The following is an 8759-nucleotide window of genomic DNA, read 5'->3' on the forward strand; positions in this document are numbered from 1 at the left end:
CCCAATCACGTGACCGTCTGACTCCGCCTAGTGCCCCCGCCACATGATCGCTGCCTTCAGCAACGGTCTCCCAGCCCCCAAACGTGTACCCCAGCCGAGGTCCTCTGAGCACCCAGGCTAAGCTGGCCTGTGCCTTCAGGAAACGGACCATCGGCTCCCACCCCGCTTTACCCCACCCACGATGGAGCACGAAGCAACTCTGACCCGCAGGAGTGTGCGTGCAGGGAGTGAAGGTGGGGACTGTGGGGGTTCCTAGACTCGAGTGGGGAGGGCCAAATACAATGAAAGCTCTAAGGTGGCTTACTTGTCTTGGGGTGGGAAAGGCCCAGTGCTGTGATATCTTCAGATTGGACTTTGAGACGTGGGTTTCAGCCCCACCTCCAGCTAGTCTTCAGCCACCAAAGCCTCCCTCCCGAGCAGGACAGTGAGGGCTATAAACACAAAAGAGCCCACTCTGCTTTATTTACAACACGCAGGCTGTCTGTACAAACAGCGGCCGATATTATTAAAAACAAAAGAGGTGAGTGAGAATCGTCACCTTTCTGCTTTCCTTCCTCACTTGGCCAGGCTCTAGTACTCCACCTTTGAGCTGCCATGCCCAATAGGGGAAGTCCAAAATTAAAAATACAACCGGTGTAGAAGAAAATAAATGGGGAGTGAAATAGAAGAAAAGATGAGGGAGGGGAGTGCTAATATTTACACTAGAGTTTTATAGACAACTGTCCCATTCCATCCCAATTCCAATCCTGACCCAGAAAGTGATGGTGGCAGGTCCAAGAGACAGAGATTATGTGTCGGGACACAGACAGCCTCCCATCCCCAACCGTAATGGATTCAATTTCAAGTCCACAGAGTGGGGAGGAAGGATAGGGTGGGAAAGTGAGACACTCATTTTCAAACAAGTCTCCCTTGAGAATTCCTGCCTTGAAGTGCAGACAGTATCCAAGCTCCAGGGGATAGGCTGAGGACCCTGAGGCTCAGTTCCCAAATCATGTTGTCATTTGGAAGTTCCAGGCTAAAGTTGGTGCCATCAGGGCTCTCCAGATTTGGGAGGCCCCCCTAACCGCCGGGCCTCTGGCCTCAGTTCCTTGCATTTCTGGCAATAAAAGAAGTCGGGGACGTTGGTCTTCTTAATCTTAGCACAGGAGAGGTGGATCCACGTCCCACACAGGCTGCACTCAATCATGGGCCGCCCTGCAAAGGGCTTTCGACAGTAACATGTGATCAGATCCCATGAGTCATCACCTGGGGAAAAAAAGGTTTGTTTGGTATTCTGCCTGAGCTGTTGGATCCACAACACCCTCAAACCCCTCGCCCCAGCCCGAACCTCTCACCTGATTCTACCATGATGTCCTCGTCCATGACCCGCATCTCGCCTTCACTGGAGCTGGCATCTCCATCTTGGCTTGTTTCAGTGCTGCCCACCTCCTTGCTTTCACTGTCAGCAGGAGGGACTCCTTCAGGGTGCACTGTGGCAGGGGGCCTAGGAGCCTCAGGGGGTGTTGGCAGCACAGGGACTGGGGCTTCACCCCCTACCACTGTTGCCATCTCTTCTTCTTCTTCCTCTTCCTCCTCTTCCTCCTCCTCTTCAGAGTCTGTATCACTGGGGGGTGCCTGGGGAGGCCCAGGAGGTGGGAGTCTATCCCCCCGTTCTGCCTTTTTTAACTTCCGCTTCTTGCTCTTCTTGATTCGAGATCTCTTTTCCCCATCCCCAGGAGTTGGCCGAGGCCTCCGAAGCACCCCAAAGCCAGCCCCAGCTCCTGGCCCCAACTTTCGGTTCTTTCGGTCCTTCTTTCGAGGAGGATGGGAGAGGTCCCCCTGGGAAAGGGGCACGGGGGTAAGAGCAGCAGGGGGCCGGGAGGTATGTGTCAGGGATGTGGGGGACAAAGGAGATGCCACTTTGGGCCCATCCAGATCAAAGAGAGAGTCCTTGAGCTTCATCTTCTCAAGCAAGGTAGCACTGTCGGGGGCCTGCAGACGAGAGAAAGTGGACCTTGGGGGTCCTGGCTGGGTGGGACCTGCTTGAGCTGCCCTTCTCTTGGATGACTTTGCTTTCTTAACAAAAGTCTGGATGGTTCGAAGATCTGAGGGGGCCGAGTCCCAGCCATCACTGTCGGCCGCACTCTCTCCTCGCAATGGAGAGCTGGAGCCAGAGGCTGGCCAGTCACTTTCCTTAAAAGGGGGAAGAGACCAGGGTCAGCAGAACCCCAGTGTCATCTCAGCCCCTCCACAAACCCAGCTTGAAAAGGAGTGACTGGATTTACCCCAAAATGTCCTACCTCAACCACTAAATCCCACTGTACTCCAAAAACTTCTCCCCACCCCAATTCCCATCAGCATGTCCTCTTGACCAGTCCGTGTTACCTCTACCCTCAAGTCTGACACCTCACCGCTGCCCCTGCCCAGGGCCTGTGGAACACTGTATCACCCAGACCGGAGCCGTTATGTCCTTAGCTCTTTTTCTGTATAGCCTCATTTGTTACCATTTTCATCTCCCTAAAATTTATCCATAAACACCTTCCATTCACAGCACCTCAAGACTATGCCAAAATCTCAACCAGCGACTCCAAATCCCCCTTCCTTTTCACTGCTGTTCAAGCTAGCTATCCCGGCCATCCACTCCCCGCATACCAGCTTTCCTACCACAGCCCTAAGAGTCTCCAACTTCCCTGGTCTTACATATAATTTCTAAGGGCCTCCTTCTATAAAGCAATACAGTTCTGTTTGAACAACAGTCACTCTATAGTCCCACCACACCAGCCTCAAGTCAGTAATTCTCTTGCCCCTACCTCTTTGCTAGGGGGAATGTAACCAGCATATGCCAAAACAAAACTGCAGAATTTGTTGAAATCCTCAATTGTTCTCCGCCGTTTCTCTGGTGGCTGAAAGGAAGGAGATATGGATCACATGCAAAGCCACACAGTTTAAGAATGGCATTCCCAGAAACACAGTCCCTAAGTGAGGTCTAGAAAAGGGGGGCGGGGGGCGTTGTCAGGCAGGGCTACTAGGCTGCAAAGGTAAGGCAAACCTCACCTGAGTCTCTGGCTTAAGGGTCGGAGGTGGATCTGGAAAAGCAATAAAAGCTGAGTCAAGACACTAGGAACAATCTGTGTAAAACTCCCCCTCTAAACCCCGTTGTTCCTAAGTGAACCCCCTGCTCTCCCAGGTCCCTCTGCCAGGCCAGCAGGCCCCCAGCTGTGTTGGATCCGCCCCGGCTCCCCCTTCCGCCCCGCGAGGGGCGGAGCCTGGGCGCGGCGCCCTCTGAGGCCTCGCTATAGCGCTCCCCTTCCCCCAACCGGAGGCCCGGCGCCCCGCCCCCCCAACTCACGGTCTCTCTCGACTCCAGTCTACTCGGATCCCTCAGCGCCCCACCCCACCGTACCGCTCCCGGGGCCGCGTCCGGGCCGCCGCCAGCCGCCCCCGTCCTTCACACGCGCCCGGAGCCCCGAGTTCCTACCCGGCCGCGCTCCACCGCCTCGGGCCCTCCGAGACCGCACACGCCGCCCGCCAGCCCCCAGGGTCCAGGATGACCACGCCGAACCGCTCCCCGCCCTCCGGCCCCTTCTACTCGAGCACGCGGCCCGGCGCGCCCCTCACCCCCACCCCAGACACACACAGGCACACGCATCCAACGCTACTTCACGGCCGGGACAGACCCGGGAGCTCTAACCCGGACGCGGCCCCCACCTGCCCCCCCCCCCCCGCCCATACCGCGCTCCCCACAATTTCGCCGTCCCTCCGCCCCCATCCGGGGCTTTGGCCCCTCCCCGTCTCCAGCTTTTCGGGCTCCCCACCGGGCCCCCCGGCCCTGTTCCTAGCCCTCTCCGGCCGCCGCCCCCCCCTCCGCCCCCGTACTCACCACCCAGTTACTAGGCTATGGACCCCTCAACTCTGGCCCCTTCCCCCCAACCAGCCACTCTCTCTCTCTCTCCACAGCAGCCACCGCTGCTGCCGCCGATGCCCCCCTCACCCTCAGCAACTCCCAGGCTCTTAACCCTCGCGGACCAACCCTACCCCCCCGCCCGACAAGTCGCCGGTCTTAACCCCCCCCACCCCGCCCCACCACCCCCTACAACTACCCAGCTCGCCTCGCTTCCTGGCTCGCTCTCTCCACAACTACCCCCCGGTACAGGTCCGTCTGCCGTAGACAATACCCAGACCCCCTCTTCTCCCCACAACTACCTGCCCACCTCTCCGACAATCACCGGGCATTCTCCGGCGGCAACTACTCGGAGCTCCGGTACCACCGCCACAAACTACCCCACCTCGGCGAACTACCGGGCCCCTCACTCAGCCTCTTCTACGTCCTCCCTCCTGAGCAACTCTCCGGCCACTGGATTCCCCTAACCTTCCAGTTCCAGGGCCCCAATCTGCCGGTGGCCCTTTCGGGCCCTAACCCCCGAGGCTCCGGGTTTCAAGCTCCTATCCCCCGCACCCCCACACCGTCTGATCTCCAACTACCCCAGCCCAGTTTCCCACTCCTCTTTCTCCAAGGTCTCTCAACTCGTCGCTCTCCCACCTCCAGGGCCAGCCTCCCGACCCCCTCCCCGAACTCCCCCGCTGGGCTCCGGGGCTCGACCTCCAAGTTTGCCAATTGATTCCTCGCCCGCCCCCCGCCGGCTCAGCGCTCTGCACCGGTCGAGAGCTCACCTTCGGGACTGGGCTCCGCCATGGCTTCCAGCATCGCCCCCTCCCCTCCTCCCGGTCCGGCGCCCCCCTCCCCGGAGCCGGGGATCCCGGTGCCGCCTCTAGTGCTCGATGCTCCCACTGCTTCGCTCCACAGAAGTGTCCGCCTCAGCCCGGTTGAGACTCGAGTCCGCTAGCCGCTGCCGCCACCTCCCTCTACCACTGCCTCCCGCACTCCCGGACCGGGCCCCCTCCCCCCGCGCCGCCGGCCGCCTGCTCCCTCCTCCTCCTCCTCCACCTCCTCTCTCCTCCCTCCCTCCTCTTCTCTCCCTCCTCCCCCCGCCGGCGCCGAGGCGCAGTGCACCAAGGGTTTTGTAGTCCGTCCGGGAACAGCGGAAAAGGGACCGCATGAACCTCCGGAACTTTGATTCCCAGAAAGCCACAGGCTGGCGCAGGCGCACCAAGCCGCTCCCCTCCCCCGGGGAGCGGCGGGGAGACCAGGAGCCGGAGGGGAGAGCGGAAGTGCGCGCGCAGGCCCCTGGGAGATGTAGGCTGGGCGGGACCAAGAAAGAAGAGGAAGAAGGGATTAGAACTCTCGGCCACCATACTGCCTCGTTCTGCAGCTTCTTTCTCCCCAGGAGGACCGCCCCACTTCCGGCCTGCCGGAGAAATGATTGCTGGGAGTTGAAGTATTCCTGGCGATAATGGCTCCCGCTCCCAGTCTTCTCCCTCCCTGATTCCACTCTGCCGGATCCCACACACCGGCAAAAGTCTAGCCAAGTGACATGCAACTGAGAACAGCCGTTTTACTAGCTTGCACACATGAAAATATCTTAGTTAGAATGTTCTAGCAAATGTGGATGTTCACCTAAAGCAGGTACTTCGGAACTTTCTCCACAGGAACCCACAGTAAAAAAAAATTTTTTTTTACATGAGCATTTTTAACATTTAGTTTCACATGCGTGTTATAAAACTAAAGTTTCAAGAAATAATCCTCAGTATTCCATTCCATCACAACAAAAGCACCCTCTTTTTGCAGACAGGGAAAAGCCCAACATGAACAGAATAAACCAAAATATACTTCTATCCCTCCAGCTTGTACCCAGTACTCTTCTTTCCCCACCACTGAAACCCACTGACACCTTGGAAAGACTTAAAATCAGCGGGACGAGGGGAGCAACACAAGGCAAAATTCAGTTCAGCTTGGTGGTTTCCTCTTTATTGATGTGCCTCCTACCTTCCCCCCACAATTTCAGTCCCTTCCAACTACCCCCAAAAAAGAAGGTAGTGAAAGGAAGGGATTGCTGGGGTTCTGAGCCCCTTGGGCAGTCAGAAAGGGAACAGAAACCAAAACAATCACTGGATGTGACACAGACTGACAATCAAGAAGTCTACAGCAGGATGGGAAAGGCGGGCAGAGAAAGGGGAAGAAAGGAGAAAGGAGAGTTACAAGATGCCAACTCCACCATTACCCCTCCTAAGAGAGGCTGGAGAGAAAGCCACAAACATTAAGAAGTGCCGGTCCTGAATAAGGGAGGTGGTGTTTGAGCTTGAAGGAGGAGGAGGTCAAGAAAGGGGGGCCACCTCTCTCTTTGTAGAATGAGACCCCCCTCCAGCTCAGGGGCAGCAGCTTCACAGACCGTAGACACTTTCGTCACTGTAGGCAATGTAGAGAAAGAAGTCTTCTTCATGGTGTTCCTGGGATGAAAGCAGAAAACTGTTCAGCAACTGGGCTCCAGTAACTTAAACCAACCACGACCCAGACACGTTCTTCTAGAACCACAAACCATTGCCTGACTCCTTCACTGACTCCAAGGCCTACCACACGAGCAGTATAATCTCTGCAGTCCTGGGCAAAAAGGCCTCAAACTGTTTTCTGCTGCTTTGGAATGGGGAGGGGGACTGGGAAGAGTCCCGAACAGATAGTTTCTCTAGCTCACTGTTCTCTTTCCTTCTCTCTACTCCTACTGTTCTGTCCAAACCCCCAACCCACGGCTATTATGAAACTTTAAGGCAAGCCAGGAAGCTAGTCCAAAACTACTGATGTAACAACACTTTCTTCCCCTCACGCTCTTCCAAGATTCCTCTCCAAAGCCTCCACCACTTCCCAGTCACCATACCTGGTACAGCTGACCCATTGTGGCACTGGTGGGTGGAATGACATTGTTGACAAAGAAAAACAAGGCATCCTCAGCTCGGAGATGAATTCGCTTCCGGATCAAGAAGTAGAACTGACCAACTGCAAAAGATACAAGATGCAAGAAAGTCACAGAGGTCAAAAATGCCCTCAAAAGAACAGCTGCTAGGTGGAGCCTCCTCCCGCAGAGACTGCACTCCCACCCACAGGAAGCAAGCCTGAGTCTTGGATCAGGTTCCCACCTGTGAGATCAGAAGGCACCAGGTATTTCTTTTTGTCCAGGTCTCCTATCCGAGCTTTGGGAGCCTTTTCTACTATCACCTGATAAAGAGATGAAAATTAGGAGACAGAAGGAATGCAGCCCCGAAGCTGCACCTGTCAAGAACTCAAGAAACAATATTCCTAGCACCTAAATCTACCCCAGATTCATCTCTTTGTCTTTGTACACGCGGTGCAGCACTGAGTCCCAGAGATCCTGACCTCACTGACTGGAGCTCATTTAAATATCCAGGATCCATCCCCCAATAGGGCGTCACCATAAACAACTATCTTAATCAGACGGAGGTGACTTGTTTGGGTCGACTAGTGATTCAATCTCGCAACCTTAGCTAGCTGGGGGGATGACCATTTGAAGCTCAGGCTGTCAAACTCTCTAAGGCCTCAAATGCTAAGGTTTCTCTCTCCTGTCCACATCCCTCTCAACCCCACATCCACCACTACCCCACTCCTTTCATCCTGGGTCCCAAGGACAGCAGTTTCAGGCTCGCTGCCAACCCCACCACAGCCAGCAGCCTGATCCCTGCGCTGCCTGTCCCGATCCAAGGCCAGGCTGTGGCGTCAGCGTAAGCGTCCCGCGCCCTCGGCCCTGGCTACTGTCCTCACCGGCACCCGGTCCGGGTATTTCTTTCGGATCTTCTCGCCCTCAGAGCGGCGCTTCTCGAACGGATGCTCTTCTTTGTACACGAACTTCATCCTCCCGGGAACCGGGCTGGACAGGGCTGGGCTGAGGGAACCCAGGGGGGCCGGGACGGGGGGCGGCGACGACGGCGGCGACGCGCGGGCGGATTCAGCGGAGCGATCCACGAATTTGCGCCACTTCCCTATTCACCAACCCCGCCCCCGACTATCGGGGACTGCCCCCCCCGCTAAGATACGCCACTACCTCAGCGGCGCTAACGCTGCTAGCGTAGCACCACCAACTGACCGGCCCCCTCACGCCATTAGCGTAATCGCTTTGGAATCAATTTGTGGGCTACGCAGGCGACGTAGCAAAGACGGTTGGCTTTTGCTCATCGAAAATTACTCTAAACCTATTCCCCAACCGTCCCCTCAAGGAAGCTGGGGCTGAAGAGGAGTAAAAGATGGTAATCATCATACGAGACTTGGTTCTCCAAGTTCCTTTCGTTAACAACGTAGAGGAACAGCAGGGACAATTACAAGGTTAGCTATTCACGAACCGTGTTGCTACGCTGAAGGCGGCCGTTGACACCAAAACAAAGTAGTACCCAAGTGGCGGAGATGATCTCCAGAAATAAGAAGTCAAAAAGAAAACAGATGTTTGGAGAGATCTACAGAACGCTTAAGTGCCAAAATGAGTAGACCAATAGGGACTGGAGAGGAGGTTGGAAAGGTAGGGACTACGCCAGCGCGGAGGAACACTGCGGGACTTGAGTTAAATCATGTGATCTCAAAGAGGGCGGAGCGTCACGTGGCGGGTGCGCGAAGTAGGGCCGGCTTGGGAGGGCGCCGGGGAGGCGGGGCCGGCTGGGCGACAGCTGGGAGGGGGACCGACGCCTTCCCGGACAGCGGAGGTCGGGGCGCCAGCCACCTGGGGGCAGCGCCCGCTTAACCTGTCCACGTCAGTGCCCCGGACGAAGCCCGGTTTCTCCAGCTCTACGCCCTTTGGCCGTCCAGGTTTCTCCTTTCGTGCTTCCATAGCCGGTTTCTCCTTTCGTGCTTCCATAGCCTGCTTCTCCGAAGGTGTCCTTCCACTCCC

At 56.6% G+C, this 8759-nt stretch overlaps 2 protein-coding genes across 11 annotated transcripts, besides 11 other annotated features; both read right to left on the reverse strand.

The window, feature by feature from the left end:
- Window positions 70-119: an enhancer, noted in NCBI's record as "active region_11604". NCBI's record gives its function as "activates an Ori minimal core promoter by ATAC-STARR-seq in GM12878 lymphoblastoid cells {active_cell/tissue: GM12878}" and the evidence as "EXISTENCE:reporter gene assay evidence [ECO:0000049][PMID:35858748]".
- Window positions 443-6233, reverse strand: PHF23 (PHD finger protein 23). Of its 10 annotated transcripts, none has more exons than XM_047436728.1 (5): window positions 4991-6233; window positions 3034-3065; window positions 2790-2882; window positions 1335-1971; window positions 443-1245 (listed from the first exon to the last, which is right to left on the reverse strand). In XM_047436728.1, exons 1-5 carry the CDS (start codon window positions 5034-5036, stop codon window positions 1031-1033), a joined length of 1023 nt encoding a protein of 340 aa, XP_047292684.1. In that variant the 5' UTR covers window positions 5037-6233; the 3' UTR covers window positions 443-1030. The 10 variants fall into 10 exon arrangements, with proteins under 10 accessions (XP_047292684.1, XP_024306706.1, NP_001271446.1 ...); XM_024450938.2 differs by having other exon boundaries at window positions 1335-2172; NM_001284517.2 differs by lacking the exon at window positions 4991-6233 and adding an exon at window positions 4651-4862.
- Window positions 3130-3609: a silencer, noted in NCBI's record as "silent region_8090". NCBI's record gives its function as "represses an Ori minimal core promoter by ATAC-STARR-seq in GM12878 lymphoblastoid cells {active_cell/tissue: GM12878}" and the evidence as "EXISTENCE:reporter gene assay evidence [ECO:0000049][PMID:35858748]".
- Window positions 4463-5112: an enhancer, noted in NCBI's record as "H3K27ac hESC enhancer chr17:7142377-7143026 (GRCh37/hg19 assembly coordinates)". NCBI's record gives its function as "activates a minimal SCP1, AML or CMV promoter by ChIP-STARR-seq in primed H9 embryonic stem cells {active_cell/tissue: H9 hESC(primed)}" and the evidence as "EXISTENCE:reporter gene assay evidence [ECO:0000049][PMID:30033119]".
- Window positions 4463-5129: a biological region, named in NCBI's record as "H3K27ac hESC enhancer GRCh37_chr17:7142377-7143026".
- Window positions 4760-4939: a silencer, noted in NCBI's record as "silent region_8091". NCBI's record gives its function as "represses an Ori minimal core promoter by ATAC-STARR-seq in GM12878 lymphoblastoid cells {active_cell/tissue: GM12878}" and the evidence as "EXISTENCE:reporter gene assay evidence [ECO:0000049][PMID:35858748]".
- Window positions 4990-5129: a silencer, noted in NCBI's record as "silent region_8092". NCBI's record gives its function as "represses an Ori minimal core promoter by ATAC-STARR-seq in GM12878 lymphoblastoid cells {active_cell/tissue: GM12878}" and the evidence as "EXISTENCE:reporter gene assay evidence [ECO:0000049][PMID:35858748]".
- Window positions 5240-5329: an enhancer, noted in NCBI's record as "active region_11605". NCBI's record gives its function as "activates an Ori minimal core promoter by ATAC-STARR-seq in GM12878 lymphoblastoid cells {active_cell/tissue: GM12878}" and the evidence as "EXISTENCE:reporter gene assay evidence [ECO:0000049][PMID:35858748]".
- GABARAP (GABA type A receptor-associated protein) lies at window positions 5413-7854 on the reverse strand. Its single transcript, NM_007278.2, has 4 exons — window positions 7646-7854; window positions 7006-7084; window positions 6747-6865; window positions 5413-6324 (listed from the first exon to the last, which is right to left on the reverse strand). Exons 1-4 carry the CDS (start codon window positions 7733-7735, stop codon window positions 6259-6261), a joined length of 354 nt encoding a protein of 117 aa, NP_009209.1. The 5' UTR covers window positions 7736-7854; the 3' UTR covers window positions 5413-6258.
- Window positions 7011-7562: an enhancer, noted in NCBI's record as "H3K27ac hESC enhancer chr17:7144925-7145476 (GRCh37/hg19 assembly coordinates)". NCBI's record gives its function as "activates a minimal SCP1, AML or CMV promoter by ChIP-STARR-seq in primed H9 embryonic stem cells {active_cell/tissue: H9 hESC(primed)}" and the evidence as "EXISTENCE:reporter gene assay evidence [ECO:0000049][PMID:30033119]".
- Window positions 7563-8114: an enhancer, noted in NCBI's record as "H3K27ac hESC enhancer chr17:7145477-7146028 (GRCh37/hg19 assembly coordinates)". NCBI's record gives its function as "activates a minimal SCP1, AML or CMV promoter by ChIP-STARR-seq in primed H9 embryonic stem cells {active_cell/tissue: H9 hESC(primed)}" and the evidence as "EXISTENCE:reporter gene assay evidence [ECO:0000049][PMID:30033119]".
- Window positions 7727-7916: a silencer, noted in NCBI's record as "silent region_8093". NCBI's record gives its function as "represses an Ori minimal core promoter by ATAC-STARR-seq in GM12878 lymphoblastoid cells {active_cell/tissue: GM12878}" and the evidence as "EXISTENCE:reporter gene assay evidence [ECO:0000049][PMID:35858748]".
- Window positions 8507-8616: a silencer, noted in NCBI's record as "silent region_8094". NCBI's record gives its function as "represses an Ori minimal core promoter by ATAC-STARR-seq in GM12878 lymphoblastoid cells {active_cell/tissue: GM12878}" and the evidence as "EXISTENCE:reporter gene assay evidence [ECO:0000049][PMID:35858748]".

Source organism: Homo sapiens, chromosome 17, assembly GCF_000001405.40.
Source record: "Homo sapiens chromosome 17, GRCh38.p14 Primary Assembly".
NCBI lineage: Eukaryota > Metazoa > Chordata > Mammalia > Primates > Hominidae > Homo > Homo sapiens.